Source organism: Homo sapiens, chromosome 4 (genome assembly GCF_000001405.40).
Source record: "Homo sapiens chromosome 4, GRCh38.p14 Primary Assembly".
Lineage (NCBI taxonomy): Eukaryota > Metazoa > Chordata > Mammalia > Primates > Hominidae > Homo > Homo sapiens.
In genome coordinates this window covers 167,293,637-167,316,505 of record NC_000004.12, presented here as the reverse complement: position 1 = coordinate 167,316,505, position 22,869 = coordinate 167,293,637, and positions in this window count along the sequence as shown.

Here is a 22,869-nt window from a genome sequence, read left to right as displayed (position 1 = left end):
AGGGAATGCTTATACACTGCTGATGGGAGTGTAAATTAATTCAGCCATTGTGGAAAGCAGTTGGGTGGTTTCTCAAAGAGCTCACAACTACTATTCGACCCAGTAATCCCATTATTAGGTATATACCCAAAGGAATATAAATCATTCTACAATAAAGATACATGCATGCCTATGTTCATTGCAGCACTATTCACAATAACAAAGACATGGAATCAACTTAAATGCCCATCAACAGTGGACTGGATAAAGAAAATGTGGTACATATACACCATGGAATACTATGCAGCCAGAAAAAGGAAAAAGATCACATTCTTTGCAGCAATATGGATGGAGCTGGAGGCCACTGACCCAAGTAAACTAACACAGGAACAGAAACCCAAACACTGCATGTTCTCACTTGTAAGTAGGAGCTAAACATTGAGTACGTGTGGATATAAACAAGGAAGCAACAGACACCAGGGCCTACTTGAGGGTTGAGGTGGGAAGGAGGCTGAGGATCAGAAAACTACCTATCGGGTCCCATGCTTATCACCTGTGCAACAAAATTATCTGTGCACCCAACACCCATGATACACAATTTACCTTATAACAAACCTGCACATGTACCCCTGAACCTAAAATTTATTTAAAAAAGAAAAACAAATGAACTTGAAATATCTAGTCCAGAGAATCAGAGATATCTGGTGAAGTATGTATGAGTTCAAACAAGGGAAATCTAGATTTACATTTTAAAAATTGGAAATCCTTTCTTATCTTGTAATACATGCCCATCTAGAGGAAGAGTAGGGATAAATATGCAAGTAGCAGAAAAAGGCAGAATGAATTATAAGTCATAAAGAAGAAAATTGCTGCAAAGTGAGTGGAAAGAACATGAAGTTGTGATAGTGATTCTGGTTGATAAATACAAATCATGAAGTATAGAAATTAAGTTAAATGGTTATTAGTAAATATGAATAAGTTACGTTATGAATAATCTTCTAGATAAAAAAACAAGCACAGAGAAAACAGAGATGGGAAAGTAAGAAGCTTGCTTAGGATACAGAAAATGGTTCAAATTGATTACAGTTTTGCTAACAAAAGGTAATAATCAAAAACGTCTACTTTATTTTATTTAGAGAGGTGATATGATTTAACCTATGCTTCATAAAACATAATCTGGCAGTAGTGTTCAAGACAAAATAAGAGCCTATTCCAATGAGAGTGTGCGGCAAGACAATAGTACTAGGAATGGTGGTAGTGGCATAAGGGTAGTCAAAGACATCACAAGGTACAGTTAACAGAACTCAGCAACTAAATGACTAAAAATGAAGGCAGTTCAATAATGTACTATCATATTCAAAAAGAGGACAGAGGCTGGGCGCGGTGGCTCACGCCTATAATCCTAGAACTTTGGGAGGCCGAGGTGGGCAGATCACGAGGTCAGGAGATCGAGACCATCCTGGCTAACACGATGAAACCCCGTCTCTACTAAAAATACAAAAAATTAACCGGGCATGGTGGCGGGCGCCTGTAGTCCCAGCTACACGGGAGGCTGAGGCAGGAGAATGGCCTGAACCCAGGAGGCGGAGCTTGCAATGAGCGGAGATCGAGCAGCCTGGGGCGACAGAGCGAGACTCCATCTCAAAAAAAAAAAAAAAAAAAAAAAAAAAAGAGGACAGAGGGTCAATGATGCTGAATGGAGAAAGAGTGGTATCATTAATAGAAATAGGGTAGAGGAAAGGGCCAAGAGGTGAAACAGGAAGCATAATAACACTTCGGCACACACCAAATCTGCAGAACCTCTCACATATTAGAGAAGTATCTGTATATCCCAAGGAATATTTCAATTCACACCGACTACTGTCACCACTTAGTTTACTTCATGTAGCTATGGTTCACTTCATACAATATGCATTTTTCTAAATCAACATATGTACATTTTTAAAAATTACATGTTAATAAGCCTTAGGAAAATTTTCCAAATCTTTATTTTAGTGTCATTACCTTTCATTGTATTTTATTTTTAATTTTTTTTTTTTTTTTTTTTTTTTTTTTTTTTTTTTTTTTTGAGAGGAGTCTCGCTCTGTCGCCCAGGCTGGAGTGCAGTGGCGCGATCTCGGCTCACTGCAAGCTCCGCCTCCCGGGTTCACGCCATTCTCCAGCCTCAGCCTCCTGAGTAGCTGGGACTACAGGCGCCGGCTACCGCGCCTGGCTAATTTTTTGTATTTTTAGTAGAGACGGGGTTTCACCGTGTTAGCCAGGATGGTCTGGATCTCCTGACCTCGTGATCCCCCCGCCTCGGCCTCCCAAAGTGCTGGGATTACAGGCGTGAGCCACCGTGCCTGGCCTTTAATTTGTTTTTATAGGTTTAGGGGATACAAGTGCAGTTTTGATACATGGATATTTCCTGTAGGGGTAAAGTCTGGGTTTTTAGTGTATCCATCATCCAAATAGTATACATTGTACCAACTCAGTAATTTCTCATTCCTCACCCCTCTCCCAACCTCCTACCTTTTCAAGACTCCATTGTTTATTATTCCAGTCTCCATGTTGATATGTACCCATTATTTAGTTTCCGCCTATAAGTGCTAACATGCAGTATTTGATATTATATATATCATATTATATTATATGTTATGTCATACTATATATAATGTTATAGATAATATATATAGTTTTATATAATGTTATATATTATATTACATATAACATTATATATATAATATTATATATAACGTTATATATAATAATATGTTTTATATATATAACATTTTATTTATTCAATCATCTGTTGATGGACACTTAGGTTGATTTCATATGTTTGTTACTGCAAATAGTGCTGCAATAAACATATGCGTAAAAGTATGTTTTTGATATAATGATTTCTTTCGGGTAGACACCCAGTAGTGGGATTGCTGCATTGAACTGTAGTTCTACATTTAGCTCCTTTAGAAATCTCCATGCTGTTTTCCATATATTTTATACTAATTTATGTTCCCAGCAGTGTGTAAGTGTACCCTTTCTGCCACATTTTTGCCAACCTGTATTATTTTTAGCTTTTTAATAATAGCTATTATAACTGGTCTAAGATGTTATATTATTGTGGTTTTATTTTGCATTTCTCTAGTGATAAGTGATGGTGAGCATTTTTCAAATGCTTGTTGGCCATTTGTATGTCTTCTTTTGGAAACTGTGCCTTCATATCCCTTGCCCACTTTTAAATGGGATTATTTGTTTTTCTCTTGTTGAGTTGTTTGAGGTCCTTGTAGATTCTGGATATCAGTCCTTTGTCAGATGCATATTTTAGAAATATTTTCTTCCATTCTGTAGGTTGTCTGTTCACTCCGTTGATTATTTCTTTTGCCGTGCAGAAGATTTTTAGTTTGAGTCCCATTTGTCCATTTTTGGTGTTGGGGGTTGTTTTGTTTTGTTTTTGAGATGGAGTCTCACTCTGTTGCCCAGACTGGAGTGCAGTGACAAGATCTTGGCTCACTGCAAACTCCACCTCCCTGGTTCAAGCGATTCTCCTGCCTCAGCCTCCCGAGTAGCTGGGATTATAGGCACAGGCCACCATGCCTGGCTAATTTTGTATTTTTTTAGTAGAGACAGAGTTTTGCCATGTTGGCCAGGCTGGTCTTAATATCCTGACCTCAAGTGATCTGCCTGCTTCAGCCTCCCAGAGTGTTGGGATTATAGGCATGAGCCACCACGCCAGGCCTGAGTTGTTCATTTTTTTTATTGTTGCATTTGCATTTGAAGTTTTAGTTATTGATATTTTGTCTAGGCCAATATAAAGAAGAGTTTTTCCTATAAAGAATTTTTATAGTTTTTTCTATGAAACATTTTGTAATTTCAGGTCTTAATTTGTCTTTAACCCATCTTGAGTTAATTTTGTATATGGTAGGCGATATTGGCCCAGTTTCATTCTTCTGGATATGGCTGTCCAATTCTTAGAGCGCCATTTATAGAATAGTTTGTCCTTTCCAAAGTGTATGTTTTTGTCAACTTTTTCAAAGGTCAATTGGCTGTAGGTATGTGGCTTTATTTCTGGATTCTCTATTCTGTTTCATTGATCTGTATGTGTATTTTTATACCAGTGAGATACTGCTTTGCTTACCATTGCCTTGTAATATCATTTGAAGTCTGATAATGTAGCGCTTCCAGCTTTGTTCCTTTTTCTTAGTATTGCTTTGGTTATTTGGACTTTTTTGGCTTCATATTAATGTTGGGATTGTTTTTGCTAATTCTGTGAAAATTGACATTGGTATTTTGATAGGATTTGCATTACTTGTCTAGATTGCTTTGGACAGTATGTTCATTTTAATGATATTGTTTCTTTCAATCCATGAGCATGGGATGTTTTTTCATTTGTTTGTGTCATCTATAATTTGTTTCATCAGTGTTTTATAGTTTTCCTTGTAGAAATCTTTCACCTCCTTGATTAAATGTATTTCTGGGTATTTTATTTTGTGTAGTAATGATAAATAGTGGTTACTTCTTGATTTGGTTCTCAGCTTGATTATTATTGGTCTATAAAAATGCTACTGATTTTGTACATGTATTTTGTATTCTGAAACATTGCTGAATTCATTAACCAAATTTAGGAGTCTTTTGGAGAAGTCTTCCAGATTTTGTAGGTATAAGTTCATATTATCAGCAAATAGAAATAATTTGACTTCCTCATTTCCAATGTGGCTGTATTTTCTTCTTTTAATCTTGCCAATTGCTCTGGCTAAGATTTCCAATACTATGTTACATAGGACTGATGAGAGAGGGCATCCTTGTCTTGTTCCAGTTCTTAGGGGAAATGCTTTTAGCTTTTCCCTCTTCAGTATGACATTAGCTGTGAGTTTCTTACTTATGTCTCTTCTTATTTTGAGGTATGCTTTTTCTATGCCTAATTTGATGAGAGTTTTTATCACGAAGGGGTGCTGAATGGCAGTAAATGCCTTTTCTGCATGTATTGAGATGATTATATTTTTCTTTTAATTTTAATTCTGACACCAAGTCAGATCCAGAACTGGGTAGGGTCCAGGAGACTCCCTGAGGCCTGGATTGCCCAGCTTCTCAGTGGAAATATACACCACAGAGAAAGTCTCTCTCCCTTTCCACACGCTGAAGACTGACAGTTTTTTGGCAGGGCCGCAGCCTGGGCTGTTGCCCACAGCTCCTTTAAAAGTATGTAAAGTTTCTGGCCGGGCGCGGTGGCTCACGCCTGTAATCCCAGCACTTTGGGAGGCCAAAGCAGGTGGATCACGAGGTCACATTTTTTTTTTAATCAAGCTCCTGTGTTCCTTCTTGGATAAAAATTCACAGTATGAATCTCTACACACTATTTTGCTCTTTCTAAGTGGGTGAGGCATGAAAACAAAGCCTTCAATCTGCCATCTAGGGGGAAAAAACTAAAAAAATTTGATGTATAACATACATACATAAAAAGAGTATAAATTCATGCATATATAGTTTGATGAATTTATAATAAATAAACCAATATGTGTAACCAGCACCAAGATCCAGAAATCAAATATCTTCATCACCACAGAAGACTCCCTTGAACTGGTTTAAAAACTCCTCTCCTGAGGTGATAATTGGTCTATCCTAATTTCTAACAGCCGGCTTTTGCATGTTATATAAATGAACTAATACAGTATTTACTCTTTAATGTCTTTCTCCTGCTCAGATTTATAATATTTATTTATATCTTTTGTATAGTTGAAGCATCTTTATTTTTATTACATATAATAGTTTACTTTCTGAGTATACCACAATTTATGTATCCAATCAACTCTTGATGGACATTTGATAGACATTTGGAAAGCTTCTAGATTTTGTGTTACTAATTATGCTGCTATTAATATTCTTATACACTTAGTGAGTGGTGTGTGTGTGTGTGTGTACACAATGCATATCTACTGAGTATGTACTTTATAACTAGAGGAGGAGTTACTCGGTCAAAATTATGCATATGTTTGGTTTTAGCAGATAGTGGCAGCTTTCCAAAGTGGTTGTACCATTTATATTCCCACTAACATTATTAGAGAGTTCTGGTTGCTCCATAGTCTCACCAACGCTTGAAATTGTCAGAGGCTAGTATTTTAGCTATTTCTGGTGGTGATTTTAATTTATGTATCCTTGATGACAAATAAATGTGAGTATTTTATTCAGAATTGGCATTTCTGAGAAAAAAATTAAAAAAACAAAAAAATAGGCATTTTAAATATATTTACTGAACAGTTACATATTCCATTTTATAAAGTGTCCTATATAAATCATTGGCCTATTTTTCTACAGGTATTTCTTTTTATCTAAGATTTGTGTTACTTCTCTATATATTCTGAGTATGAGTCTGTTACCAGATATATGTATTGCAAATATCTTCCCCCATTCTGTGGTTTTCATTTCATTTACTTTCTTGTGTCTTTTGAACAGACATTCTTCACAATAATGTAAGTCAATTAAAACAGTTTTCTTTCCTTATGGTTTGCATTGTTTTATATTCTGTTAAAAAGTATACTCCAGGTCATGAAATTGTCTTCCCATAATGTCTTCCATGGACTTTATCATTTACCTTTTACATTTAGACCAGCAATTCACGCATAACTTGTTTTCTGAATGGTGTGTGGAAACAGTCAATATTGTTTTTAAAAATGCAAATACCTCAAAAAAAGTCATTTGTGAAAAGAGTATATTTTCTATATTGTGCCGTGGTGTCACCTTTATCAATCATCTGGTGTCTGTATATACGTAGAACTCCTTTTCAAATCTATTTTTTTACTGATCTATTTTTTATCTTTGTGCCAAGACTATGATGTTTAATTATTATTGCTTTGATAGATGGCAATATCAATCTTTCAATTTTATTCTTCAAGAATGCCTTGATGTTTCCTGGACATTTGCATTTTTGTATAAATGTTAGAATTAGCTTATCAATTTACATACACATAAACACACTCACATTCCAACTGATATTCTGATTGAAATTACATTGACTCTATAGAGTTGATATTTTTACAACACTGAGTCTTTCTATTAACATATTATTACATTTCTTAAGATATTATTTAATTTCTTGAAATAAGCAGTAAAATTTAAATTTTTTAAAATAAACTGTCTTATATATTACATTTTGTTAGCTTTATTCCTAGATATTTTCCTGATTTTTAAAATAAACTGCTTGGTACGGTAAATATAAAAAAATTGTCATTCAATTATTTTATAGTATTAGATTTTGTATTTTGTATTTACTCAAGGTAGTGCTCAGTGAACTGCTACTGTAGATTTTTCTTCAGTTTTCATTTCTTGTTTTTAGAAGCTCTTCTTCCTTTGTGGATGTCTTTGGTTCCTTGATATTCTTTTTAGGATTACAAAGGGTTATGAATGCTACTATTCTCGTTATACAGTTGGAGTGCAGAATTCGCTAAATGCCATGCTGTTAGAAAATCTCTTAGGTAAGCAGTTTCTGTCACAGTAGTCACCCTCAGGAGTGACAATGATGAAGTAAACCACCTATATGTGTGTGGCAAGGTCATGATAGATAACCTTTGTGTTTTCTTTCCCCATCAAGCTGTAGCAGCTGTTTGCATAGATAACAGTGACCAGTAGTAATAATACATTCTAGCAAATTCCTTTTTAAATATTAATGCCAGGAAGTAAATAATAACATATAAGTAAAAAATGATGAATGCTATGAGTAATGCAAAAAGTTTCATAGCAATGAATGTTATCTGTTTGATACCTAGCCCTCCCTGAATTATCCATCATGAAAACAAGGAGAATAAACACAGAGTAAGACAACATGGGAGAGTAGAAGAGAGAAAACCAAATAAGGAATCTCAAATGCAGCCTCTCCCTTGCCTCCCAACCATTGTGAACACAGATCTCAATGAACATTTTGGTGAATAAGGCAAGTACATTTAATTAATTTTAGTCAAGCAGGCAAGCACAGCTTTTGTTTTGTTTTGTTTTAGATATTGAGGGCTCGCTTTACAGAAAACAATTGTTCAAGGGATAACTGATTTATAATAATCCCTCAGTGTGCTCATGAAGAATATACAGTGATATAAGTATAGCTAGAAGGATGTGAATTTCTCACTACTATAACAAGGATTGGTTTAAACTGGGAACAGTTACAAGCAAACTGTTTGGGCTTAGGGAAGATCAAATGTTATGGAACAGAATTCACTTATTCATTCTTTGATTTATTTTTTCTTGGTTTCCAATATTAATCCAGTACCTACTCTATGTGAACAGAAAGGGAAAGGACAAAAGGAAAGAAAGACAAAAAGGAAATATGTTTGCTGTCCTCAAGGAATTTCCATTTAGCGGGCATTAAACATTCTGATTTATAAACAGTGAGTTGACATTGAGTACAAATATTATCTTCCTAAAATAAGCTATTGGTTAATAACAGTGACTATATGAGAGCCTGATGTGTCAATTACAGTGGTTAAGATTTGAAAGGATATACTTAGTTGGCATGAAAAAAATCTAAGACCTTTTCAGTGTAACTGAGGATTCACTGAAAGTGCTCATTTCTGATATTCTGGAGACAGTGTTATTGAACATTGGCTTTACAAAATTTTAAGTGGCAAAATGTAATTTCAGAAAACACAGAGTGCCTGGTTAATGGAGGCATGCACCCTTTTTATGCAGTTGTTTAACTGCAAATGATCCAGAGGCTGAGTAAGGCAGATTATGTTCCTAGATCTATTCAGGGTCCTCAGAGAGGCCCATCTATGAAAATATATATTTGCCATTATTTTTGTTAAATATAATTGGGAAGCTAGGGTCTGAAAGAAAATATACAATTGTTTTTTGAGAAAGGATAATATTATAAAATCAGATAGAAAACAGTCTGAATTGTAAACTTTAGGTATTCCTTCTTGTACTTCTGCTTTGAAATGAAGGGGAGAAAAGTATAGTTAAGGGCACATTTATTCCTTTGTGCCCTTTCTACATATTGCTGCTTATCTGTAGCATTACTTCATAAGCTCATGAAGTTGTTGCTTTATGACATGTTATTGAGCTCTTGACCTATACTTTGAGTAACTTTATTTTCTAAGTTATAACCTAGCCAAACTATATATATATATATATATACACATATATATATATCAGAATAATACTGTTAAAATTCAATAAACTGGGAATGATTTTCATATTTCAATTTAAAATATGTAAAGCTAGAAGAAGATAATGCTTCAATCATAGTTCAGAAAGCAAAATCCAACACTTTTCAAGTAATTGCTCTAAAATTCCTCTCAACTGATCAGTTCTTCATAATCAGAAGATTTTTTATTCCTTCTTATTTTCAAGAACATCACATTAAAAATATTTATGAAAATATTTATGAAAACAAGAACAGAAAGTCCAAGAGAGGAAAATGGAAACCAGCAGAAGGCTCTACACGTTACATTTCCACTACAAAACTATAGGCAACTTCTGAAGGAAATAAGAAAAGATAACAAGTATTTACCCTTAACCATGTGCCCTTTATTCTGCTTGACAAATGTTTATTTTGAGCAGCAAGTACACTGAATAATTAGTAATGAAGGCTCATGATATGAAATCCATAACTTAAGATTCAGGACAAAATATATATACCTGAAATCAAACAATTTCTAATTGTAGCATTCACATCAATATATTTGCATTTTAAATGTTATGATCTAGTAAATAAATTCTAGCTGCTAATTGTGAGATGCGTGATAAGAAAAATTGCCACGTTGATGGCCTTTTCTTAAATTAATATGTAAAGCACTTTACTAAACTATGGTTCTCAATTGTTGAAGTAAGTAGACTTTTTTTCCTTTTTCTAAAACATCTCAACCAAGTCAAACTATATATACACACACACACACACACACATATATATGTATACATATATGTATGTATGTATATATGAGTATATATATGTTTTAGAAAACTTTTACAAAAAGAGAAGAGCTTATATAAAAATTTATTTCAACATTTTATAATTTTTAACTGAGTAAAATATATTTTAATATAATCTTTGTCAGTTTACAGTTTAAGATATTCTCTAGAATTTCACTGCATATTTAACATAATAAAACATGCAGGCCATTCATTCCTATATTCATTTTATAATCGATGATGTCATGAAGAATCTATTCTTAAGGAACTGTTGCTTTCCTATTTCTCCATAGATAGTAAACTTCTCTTCCTAGTGGCTTAAAAATCTTTGAATAAGTTGAGCTAATGTTCTGTTAGCTCTTAACCATCGTTTTCTACACCCATAGGCTTTTCTATAACTAGACTTTTAGAGAAGTGACCTACTATTAAGCAGAGGTTCTTTTTGTCTCATTTGTTTTTTTATGAGAACAGAAGGTAAGTGTGAAGCAAAAGCAAGTATTTATTTGGATAAGATGAGTATAAAGTACATTTGATTTTATAGAGAGAAAGAGACAGAGAGAGAGAGAATAAATAAATAAATAAATAAATAAACAAACAAACTGGCTTGATGTAATGTTAACCTCTAAGCCATTAGTAATCTATAACCCATATAAATCATCCTCAATATCCAAACATATATGGAAAAAATCGAGTAAGTCTTTTCATGCCAACATTACTCTTCAGTACACACTTCAGTGATTAATTTTTCATTTTTCTCTTTACACTCTTCTAGCATATAAATACAAAGAACTTAAAAAATAATATTAACCTGACATTATAAATGGTTTTTTGTCTTCTTATTGTTAGGCTTCATAGCTTCATTAACCTTTCTCCCAAACACTGTTATTTATATTAAGTTTATACTTTCATTCTGCAAAAAGAGTAACATAAAACTAAATTTCATAAGAAAATGAGACACAATATCTATTTCAAACAAATATTCCTTTTGTATAAAAAAGCTGGGTAGATGATGTATGTGACATAAAGAGACAGCAAAAGCTTTGCTGGCTGCAGTGGGACAAATGAGAGGAATGATGGTGTTACCAATGGGCATTCACTGGGGTGACGCTGACCTGTGTCAGTCCTCTGCTTTCTTCCATTCAATACAACATATGTTTGATTGAAGGATTTTTCTCAGGTAGGCCTTAACAGTTACTTCATTAATGATCCCAGTTTCAACCAGTGACCCAGAAATGAAACACTACATTTCACAAAACTGCTGGAGAACACTATAAACAAGACTTAAAAAATGTTATGTCCTTGAAAACATGAAATCCAATATACTGGCATATGTCTTTTACTCAAAATAGAATTCAAAAATAAAATGTTCCATGGGCCACAGAAGCCAGGCTAAGTCTGTGTTTAAAAAGAAATACAAATCTCTTCTCTGTAAGTCAAACATCAGAAAATCTGAAATTTGAAGCTACTGTGGTACAAGATCAACCCTACAGTTTCTTTCATATACTAGTTGTACCATTTCAATATTATTTATAACTCTGAGGAGACTACACAAGTTATTTCACGATTTTTGGGAAGTATTGATTTCAGAAGAGAATGGAGATTTTTTTCACATACAGAAAGACCATTAAACCTATTTTGGCACTAACTGATAGCCTAAATGCTCATCTTTAATTCAAACAATAATTATGCTGACCCAATTCTTAAGAAAAAACCTTGCTTAGGAATTTATATGTTTAAATAAAATATTAAGGCTTCTTTGATTCTCACAAAATGAAGTGCAAATGTAAGTCTAACAGATAATCAGTTTAAATACAGTATATATGAAAACTGAATTTCATATCAACCTGCATAGACATTTTCTTGACTATTTATATATAAAACGATTTTAGATCATGATAAGGTTATACTTATTTAACCCAAACATCATAAAGATCTCTCTCTCTCTCTCTCTCTCTCTCTACCTACCTACCTACCTACCTACTTACCTACCTAACCTACCTAACCTACCTACCTTACTATCTATCCTGATGTAATAGTGCGGATGTAAAAGACTTCATTCTGTGATTGCTGATCATTTAGCACCAGTGACTGCTAAGTAACTTCCACTGAAGTGTTCTCCAAAATGCCCACAACTTTGCATTCACACCAGCAAAACATGTTCTAGTTATACTGCATTCCCACCAGCATTTGGTATTGTCAGATTTTAATTTTAAGCATTCTAAATGGCATATAAAGTAAACTCAGTGGGTTTCATTTTGTATTTCCCTAATGACTAATGATGTTGAGCTTTTTTTGTTGGACTAATTTCTCATGTGCACGTGTTCTTTGATAAACTACCCGTTCAATCTTTTGTCTATTTATTTCTAGTTAGTTACTATTATAATTTACTTTTGATCATTTTTGAGGTATTCAATAAATATGTCTTTTACCAGATAAATGATTTGCGAATATTTTCTTCTATGTTGCGTTTGGCCTCCCTAATCTCTAAACAATGTCTTTCAATATCCAATTTGTCATTTTTTCTTATGATTTTTTTTTGATATTTTATCAAGGTAATACTTAAACTAAGGTAACAATAGTTTTTTAAATATATTTTATTTTATAAATTTTATAGTTTGGGGGTTTAAATTTCAGTCTATAGTGAATTTTGATTTTGATTTTGTATCTGCTGTGTAGTGTTGATTAAGTTTCATGTTTTTGCACATGGATAGCCAGTTGATCCAGCAGCATTTGCAGAAAAAAAAAATAACTACGCTTAATGCATTGAATTGGCTTTGCACCATTGTTTGCAAACAACTAATGACATACATATCTATTCCAGGATCCTCTTTTTATTTCCAATGATCTATATATCTATTCTTTTGCCTATACCACAAGTCACCAGATTTTTTTTTTTTTCAGTAAAGGGCCAAATAGTACATGTTTTAGACTTTCCAAGTCTCATATTTTTCTTTGTATTTTTACTTTCCTAATCTTTAAAAATACTTGTAAAAGGCCAGGCATGGGTGGCTCATGCCTGTAATCCCAGCACTTTGGGAGGCCGAGGCGGGCTGAGCACGAAGTCAGGAGATCGAGACCATCCTGGATAACAGGGTGAAACCCCGTCTCTACCAAAAATACAAAAAAAATTATCCAGGCGTGGTGGCGGGCGCCTGTAGTCCAGCTACTCTACTCGGGAGGCTGAGGCAGGAGAATGGCTTGAACGCGGGAGGCGGAGCTTGCAGTGAGCCAAGATCGCGCCACTGCACTCCAGCCTGGTGGACAGAGGGAGAGTCCATCTCAAAAAAAAAACACCAAAATTTGTGAAAAATAGGCTCACAGTTCATACAAATAGAGACTATGAGCAGAACTTGACCTGTGGGACATATGTTGCATTCTCTTAGCCTATACCACACTGTCTTGATTAGCATAGCTTTTCAAAAATTACTGAAATTAAATAGTGTGAGTTTTTCAATTTTGTTGTCTTATGTCGACTTTTTTGGCTATAATAGTTTTTTTTTGCTTTTCTATATACATTTTAGAATTAGCTGTTAGTTTCTATAAAATTTCCTTAGGAGATTTTGAGATTTTGATTGAATTGCATTAATCTTTAGTTTGGTGAAAATTAAAATCTTAATAATATTGATTTCTTCAATTTGTGACTACAAATTATCTCCGATTTATTAGATTCTCTTGTTTTTCTTCATCAATGGATTGTACAATTTTCAATATACAGATGTTGAATATAGTTATTAGATTTATACCTATTTTATGGATTTGATACTATTATGAATTATAAGGTTTTTTAAAATTCAAATGTCCAGTTGTTCATTGTCAATAAAGAAAAACCACAACGATCTTTTCCTGAATTTTAACATTATATCTTATGAAATTTCTAAACTCACTTAGTTCTAGAAGTTTTATAGTAGTTCTTTTGGACTTTGTATGTAGACAGTGTCATCAGTAAATAAACTAGTTTTATTTCTTCCTTTCATTTTTTTTTCTCTTTTGTGTGGTCTTGCACTGGCTAGGACTTCAAATACAGTATTCTGTAAAAGTGGTGGGAGTGAGGGCTGTTAATATGCTTCTGATCTCAGGAGAGAACTTACTCTGAATTTAATCATTAAGTATAATGTTGATTGTAGTAGTGGTAGTTTCTGCTGCTGTTGCTGATCTTTTACCAGATTGAGGAATTTTTCTCCTTTTTGTATATAGCTGACATTTTATCATGACTATTTGTTGAAGTTTATCAAATATTTTTTCTTCAAGTATTTTTCTTCTTCAGTCTGTTGAATTATATTGATGGATCTTCAACTGCTGAACCAGGTTGGAATAAATACCACCCAGAAAATGGCTGTCTAGAGATGTCAGATGCCAGTTCTCAGAAAGAAGAACCAAAGTTGGTTCTTGCACATAGTTATTCATAACTCGAACAGAGCATGAAGGGGAAAGTGCTGGAGCCTAGCAGAGCCTCATGGGATGAACCTGGGGCATAGTAAAAGCACAAGCAAGAGGATCTGGTTAGGATCCCCGAGGAACTTGTCATCTGGCAGAAAGGGCAGGTGAGAGTGCTTCGTCTCTCCTCGCCCCTGCAGCTGACCTCAGGTATCCAAACTGTTGGAAAGCTCCTCTTCCCTCATGAACCCAAACAGTGGTGTGGGTAGCAATTTTGGAACTTCTTAAGAACATTACACCAGACCACCAACTCCCACAGAATCTCTGGCCCTTCCTCCCGACCCAAGAGGCAGTGGCAGGTGCCAAACTGGGGGCACAGCCATTGCGGGGACTGCGTCCTGCACAGAGAATCTGAGCCCTTGTGTCTCTACATCACCAGAGCCCCTGCAGACATTCCCTAGCCTCTGCCACACAGGGCTGGGGGATCCGGAGAACTGAGGGGTATCCAGTGGTCTAGGTCTCCTCTTGGGACTACTGCTCCTAAGAGAAGGGAGAATGCAGAGCACCAAGGAAACACCACTTGGGACAAAGAACACAGGGTCTCCAGGGAGGGGAGTAAGACAGCTTCATGTCTCCAAGTCTTTCCCAAGTTCCTTATCATCACAGAGACACTATCTCTAGCTTTCAAGTGTATCAAGCAAAGATCCTTGCAGTAACCTTGTCTCCCAAGGCTTAGACTCTTCAAAAATACCAAGAAATCCATGGCAAATTGTCTCTCAACAATTTCGATCGTTTTTGTTTTTATTTTCTTTAGATGGAAGACAAAATCGTAAGCATTCTATGTCCTAATTTAAGCAACTAATTGTGTACTGTTCTCTTGTCTTGCTTTACGTATCTGTTTCCATTTTTTTAATGTCCTTTCCATTAAAATATTTTCTTATTTCCCTTATGATTTTCTCTTGGATGCAACTATGAGTAACGTATTGTTTAAATTTCTAATTATTTTAGAATTTTCCATATTTTCTGTTATTAATTTTTGACACTTGATTGCATTATAATTAAGAAATATACATTATATAATTTCAGTTCTTTAAATTTGTAAAGTTTTTTTCTGGCCTCACATATCCTCTATGTTGGTGATTACTTTCATATGCATTTAAAAGAAAGTACATTCTCTTGAGTATTCCATAAATGCATATGAGTGTTCCATAAATGTCAATTAGGTCAAGTTGGTTGATAGTGTTGTTCAAGTCTTCTTATAGTTATTAGTTTTCTGTTTATTTTTTCAATCAGTTCTTGAGAAAGATTGTTGAAGTCTCCAACTGTATCGTGATGTATCCATTGTCCTATCATCCTTAACTGATTTTGCTTCACATTTTGAAGTTTTAAACATTATGTAATATCTCTACCCTTAACAATTTTTTATTAGGTAATATCTCTGCTCTTGGAAATTGTTAAATCTGCTTTGACTGATATTAGTATTCCATTCCAGTAAAATTTATCTGCATAATTGGATTACTATTTACAGCTTTTTTCTTATTTTTAAGCAGCTGTCCTGATTTTACAATATACTTCTTCAGTTATAACCGACTACCTTCAATACTATTATGCTGTTATATGTGTAGTGTTAGTAACTTACAAAAATGGAGCCCCAATACCTCTCTTCCATTTCTGTGCTGTTATTTTTATGAAATTCATTGCTGCTGTTTTCCTTTAGACAGCCAGTTCTCTTTTAAACTATTTACATGAAGAAAAATGACTTTATCTGTGTTTATTCAAATCCATGTTCTCTTTTGTGTATGCACAGATCTATGTCTCTGCCTAGTGACAAATTTGTTCTATCTGTGGAATTTTCGTTACTATTTCTTCTGGTGAAAACCTACTAGCAAAGAATTCTCCCAGTCTGTCTAAAAGATATCTTCACTTTTTCTTTATTGTCAAAAAAATATTTTCACTGACTATATGATTTAGAGATGACTTAAATTTTAATTTTATCAGGTTGATGAGGGCAGTCTATTTTCTTGTATACATACTTTCTGACAAGAAGTATCCTGTAACTCTTGTTCCTTATATGTTGCGTTTTTCCCTCCTCTGGCTGCTTTCAAGAGTTTCTCTTTATCTCTTTATCTTTGCTTTCAGCATTTTGACTATAATATGTCCAGTTTTTTGTTGTGTTTCGTTTCTCTAGTTTATCCTGCTTTGTTTTCTCTGCACTTGTCAGAACGTCCGTATAATGATTGTCATTAGTTTTGAAAATTAGTCATTTGTTTGTTTGTTTCGAGATGGAGTCTCACTCCATCTCCCAGCCTGGAGTGCAGTGGCACAATTTCTGCTTACTGCAACCTCCGCCCACGGAGTTCAAGCAATTCTCCTGTCTCAGCCTCCCGAGTACCTGGGATTACAGGAGTGCACCACCACACCCAGCTAATTTTTTGTATTTTTAACAGAGATGGGATTTCACCATGTTGACCTGGCTGGTCTTGAACTCCTAAGCTCAAGTGATCCACTCCCTCTTGGCCTCCCAAAGTGCTGGGATTATAGGTGTAAACCACCGCACCCGACCTGGTTAGTCCTTTTCTTGTCAAAATATTTCTTTGGTCACTGTCACTCTGTTGTCTCTTTCTTAAATCCCAATAATATGTATGTTAGGCCATTTAATATTTTCCCACAGCTCTTGCATACTTTGTTCCTTTTCTTCCTTCTGTCCTTCCTTCCTTCCTTTTTTCTGTATGTCTTTCAGTTTGGGTGGTCTGCATAGATGTGTCTTCAAAGTTCACTGATTCTTTCCTCAGCTATGCAATAATGAACATATAGAAGGTATTCCTTATCTCTGTTACTATTTTTTTCTTTTTTAGAATTTCTGTTTGCTTCTTATAGTTCTTATCTATCAGCCAAAACGTCCTATTATTCATGCTTGTTGCCCACCTTTATCATTAAAACACTTGAGAGATTAATTATATGGACTGGTTTGCAGATAAGTTTTTTTTTAAAATATCTTCTCTACTTTCAATTTTTGGTCTTCCCTTTGTTGCTGTGCCTCAAAGCTTCTCTTTCTGTCCAGGCTCTAACTTCTTCTCCAGCAGTAGACTACCATTATTTGTTAGCCTAGCGGTGGGAGGAGATGGTGGGGAAAAAAGTATTCTCTGCTTTCTGGGTCCCCAATCCTAGCTATGTGGTGTTTCCCTGGTTTCAGGAGATGGGCCTTCCCAATGATCCTGATATTCCTTCTTCTTTGCTTTCTTTCCAATGTTCTGCACCAAGAATAGTTTCCTTCCCCTTCCCCAGAAGTAGAAGATTTTTGTTTGTTTTACTGTTTTTGATTTTCTTCTCCCAGCAGCAGATCTTCACTTGTGCCCTGAGAGCGAAGTTTTGATCTTCTAATTCCAAAACATTTAAGGTTTTGTTCTATAAGGTAGGAGGATCCGGCTGAAGTTTCTTGCTTTTCCAGAATGGCTGTTGCTCCTGTGGTCCATGTACTATCAGGGACACTTTTTTTATTTGTTTTATCTCTTACCCTGGCTGCAGTCTTTATTTTGAGCACCCAAAGATTTCTATGGGGAAGAGCGTACCAGTGAATATAATAAGTTCTCTTTGTGTCTGCATTTTCCAGGGATTCTGTGTTCTCAGACTCACCTACACTTGGCTTTTAACAATTTGATAAGAATTTTTAGATGACAATGCTATTCTTCTTAATAGCATTTATGGTACCCAACACCTACCCTATGCTATGTTCCTTGGAGGCACTTATCTTTCTTTAGCATATAGACTTGTGAGTTATTCTTCATCCAGGTCTTTCACTGATTCAAAATAGTATTGCTTTTATAAATTATATAGCTTTTTCTTGTGATAAGTGCAGGAGCAATGTGTTTTCCAGTATTTTATTTTCTAAGTCAGATACCTGATACATTTGAAAAGCTTGAATTATATTTGAATTGAATTTTATGTGATTTTCATATAGAAAGCAAGAAATCTTAAAAAGCATCATTTTATATACAATCTTTATTACAAAAATCTAAAGCAATATTTTATATATACACATATTTAAAATTATTATTACTTAATGAGATGGGGTCTCACTATGTTGCCCAGGCTGGTCTTGAATTCCTGGGATCAAACAATTCTCCCACATCAGCCTCCTGAGTAGCTAGGATTATAGGTGTGCAACATTACACCTAACATTTTATATACTATTTATTATATCTATATAATATATTACACATTTTATAATACTTTATATCTATAAATGATTCTAAGAACCAGAGTATATTATTTTACCTGTGTCCCAAAGATTATTTTCATATATGATATCACAAATATTGGTTGCATCCAGATTCTGTTGAGTCTCCAAATGGAATATTACAATTTCTGCAGTGTAGTAAATCACTGCAACAGGTGAGTGGCTGCCAGAATGAATGTTTAAAGGCAACTTTATATCAAATTACTGAGTATATATGCTTTTACTTGTTTCAGGTTTAAAATATAGAGAAGTTAAAACACATAAATAAAGACCCGTATAAGTCAGGATGGCATAAGTGGACTTCAAGTGGTTAAGGTCTTGCATTGTCTAAAACAGCACTGTCCAATACAAAATTATACAAAGATGAAAATGAAATAATCAGATAACGAAATAATCAAAGTGATAGCAAATTTCCATTGAAATATATGTGTGTGTAAATATGTTTGTGTGTTTTAACAAAGATAGATGTTCATTCTTTGAAAAGACTAACCAACATAGTGACCAAGAAAAAAAGGAAGCATAAATAATAATAATAATAATGTATACAGCTAACAAAAAAGTGACATTTATATACATCTTACAGATTAAAAAGATATAAGTAGCTTTATGCTAATGAATTTGATGATTTAGATGAAATAGTCAAAACCTGAGAAAAATTTAAGCTTTGGAGATAAGATAAAATAGAGAATCTGAATAGCCTATACCTATTAAGGAAATTGTATCTGTAATTAAAAACAAAAATTAAATACCTTAACACAAAGAAAAATTCCATGCCATAATGGATTCAGCAATGAATTCTACCTAATAACTAAGGAGGAAATATAACTTTTCCAGGAACTAGCAAAAGAGAGACTTCCTCAGCCTTTTCTCTTGCAAATCATTAAACCTCATTTTAAAAATAGGAGGCCATTAAGAGAAGAGAAAACTGGTTATTCTCATGAACATAAAAGCAAAAATCTGAAATAATATTTGCAAACCAAATCCATTGAGATGAAAATGAATAATATTTTATAATTAAGTTGTATTTAACTCAGGAATGCAGAGTTAACCTTTAAAAAAATCAATTAATGTATTTCCACTAAATAAAACAGAAAAATCATATCATCTCTGTAGCTGCAGTAATAAATAAAAATTAATTAATGATAGGCCGGGCACAGTGGCTCATGCCTGTAATCACAGCATTTTGGGAGGCCGAGGCGGGCGGATCACCTGTGATCTGAGTTTGAGACCAGCCTGACCAACATGGGGAAACCCCATGTATACTAAAAATTGAAAAAATTAGCCAGGCATGGTGTTGCATGCCTGTAAACCCAGCTACTCGGGAGGCTGAGGCAGGAGAATCACTTGAACCCAGGAGGCACAGGTTGCAGTGAGCCGAGATCGTGCCATTGCACTCTAGCCTGGGCAACAAGAGTGAAACTCCATCTCAAAAAATAATTAGAATAATAATTAATGATAAATACCCATATAAAGTAGATATAAGTGAAACAAACTTCCTTAATCTGTTAAAGAGTATCTATAGGCTGGGCATGGTGGCTCAACCCTGTAATCCCAGCACTTTGGGAGGCCAAGGTGGGTGGATCACTTGAGGTCAGGAGTTTGAGACCAGCCTGGTCAACATGGTGAAATCCCATCTCTACTAAAAATACAAAAATTAGCTGGGCATGATGGGATCTCTTTGAGATAATCCCAGCTACTAGGGAGGCTGAGGCAGGAGAATCACTTGAACAGGGAGGTGGAGGCTGCTGTGAGCCCAGATTATGCCATTGCACTCCAGCCTGGGTGACAGAGCAAGACTCCATCTGAAAAAAACAAAACAAAAAAGAAAAAACAACTATCTACAAAATATTTACAGCAAATGATGATAAATAGTGAAATATTGAAAGAAACATCAGAGATTCGGTGGAAGATGTCAATATCCTTTTTTCTTTTAAATGTTGTACTGGTTCTAGCCAGTGAATTAAACAAGCAAATGAAATAAAAGTTACAAAGACTGAAAAGAATTTCTACTAGGGAAAAAAAGCACAAAATCAGGTATGGCCAAGAACTCAAGCAGGCGTATCATAAGATATGCAAATAGTCAATACATATGTAAAAAGGTGGTCTATTTGATCTGACATCAGTGAAATGGAAATTAAAAGTAATGCAAATTAAAAATAAGATACAACACATACTTTCACCAGTGTCTAAATGAATGATGTAACAAATGTAGCTGAGGAAATGGAAAAACTGATCTTTTATATATACAGGTGATAAAAAGTTTAAATTTCTACAGAACTACTGGAATTACCTAATAATGTTGAATATGCATATATCTTACTAACCAGAAAAACTACTTGTATGTTTGTACTCAATATAAATGTGTCTGTGTCTATGTATGTGTGTGTATGTATTGTTGACCTGTTAAGCTTGATTCAATTGAGAAAACAAGGTAAATTTACACATACACATATACACATAAACAGACACAGACACATTTATATTGAGTACACACATACACACACACAAACATAGACATATAATTTGTAATAGCCAATACCTAATAAAAATCTAAATGCCTATCAATAATCCAATGGTGAACAAATAAATTTTTATTTATTTATGCAATTTAATACTAGAGCAATGAAATGAATAATATTACCTTAAACACACCAACATGGATAACTGTCACAATGATAGAGGCAGGAGGCAGCTAAATGCCTAGGCAGATAGGGAAGGGTCTCAGAGAACCCCTGACCCACCCAGATCATTGTTTATAGGGGGCTGACCTAAACATGCCCACGGTGAAAAATTTCATCCCTTAACCCATGCACAATAAGGGAAATAAATCAATGTGGAGTGGCTCAAACGAAGGGCCCGCATGCACACTGGAAGCATGGGGTGGGCCCACCAAGAATTCATGGCTTATGCTAGGAAGGAGGAGCCTGGCCTCTTCAGCTCCTGTGTGGGAGCCCTGGTATTCAATTGTGAGGTGCAAACCTGTTTGCAGGACCCCTCTTTGCTGAGAGCCTTCCATTTGCTTATTAAATTCTGTCCTTCTCACCCTTCAATGTGTCCGCGTGGCTAATTTTTCCAGCTTGTGAGACAAGAACCGGATTTAGCTGAACTAAGGAGCAAAAATCCTGCATCAACAACATATGGCTGGATGAATAAAGACAGACATAAAAGTATAAATATATGTATATTTGCATTTATATAAAGTTTTAGAAGCAAAACTAAACTCTAGTGTTACTCTAGTGTTAGAAACCAGAAATTTTTTGAGGGAGAGTAAGGGAAGAGTTGATGGGTAAAGATAGGAAGGATTCTTCTTATACATTAAAAAATTTAAATTCTTGTGTTAGGTAGTGGTTACACAGATATTCTCTTTGAGATAATTCAATGGGTTTCACATGTATTTATATTTGCCTACTTTCCTTCTATATGTGTTTTATTTCAGTATTTTTAAAGCAAAAAGACAAAACAAAAATGTGAAAACTCTATTATTTTTAGATGGCATAATTTTTTTATAAATTCACATCTCTTTGTATTAGTCAAACTTCTTCAAAGAAACGAAACCAGTTGGATGTGCATATATAGAGAAAGAGATGATTTTAAGAAATCAGCCCACGTAATTATGGTAAATGGGACATCCAAAATTTACAGGTTGGGCCTGCAGGGTGGAGACACAGGGAAGGGCCAATGTTGCAGTTGGAATCCTAAAGACATCCGCTGGCCGAATTCCCTCTTGCTCGGTGTGGGGAATGGGGTGGGAGAAGTTAGTGCTTTGTCCTCTTCCGGCCTTCAACTGACAGGATGAGGCTCATCCACACTGCAGTGGGCAATCTGCTTTATTCACAGTCTGCTTTATTCAAAGTCTACTGATTTCAATGTTAATCTCATCCAAAAACATGCCCACTGAAACACCAAGAATAATGTTTGGCCACATATCTGGGCCACATATCTAGGCACCGTGGCCCAGCCAAGTTAACACAAAATTAATCATTACACTTCTTTTCTGAATCATATTTATATAAAACTTTTCAAATATTAAACAATATAAAATTATTCAACAATATACATATTGATTAAATGCAAGCCAGAAAGTGAAATGCAAAGGACTAAAAGCTATTATTCATTTTTTAAAGCTCAATCCTCTGTCACATTTTCCCCTTATTCCTTATAATAAATTTATACAAACCAATTAAACTTTAGTATTTAGGCATGGCTAACAGACAGCTGTTAAGTAAGTAGACTATAATTTGGGGAAGCGTATATAAAATCAATAGTATTTAAGATCATGTTATCAATTTTAAGTTTCACTTATACATAGAAAAATGTATTCTTAGCCAGTGTATAATAATTGATTAATGGTTTGATAACTATATGTTCTAGAATGTTAAAGCTAGATTGTCCAAATTTCTGTCTAC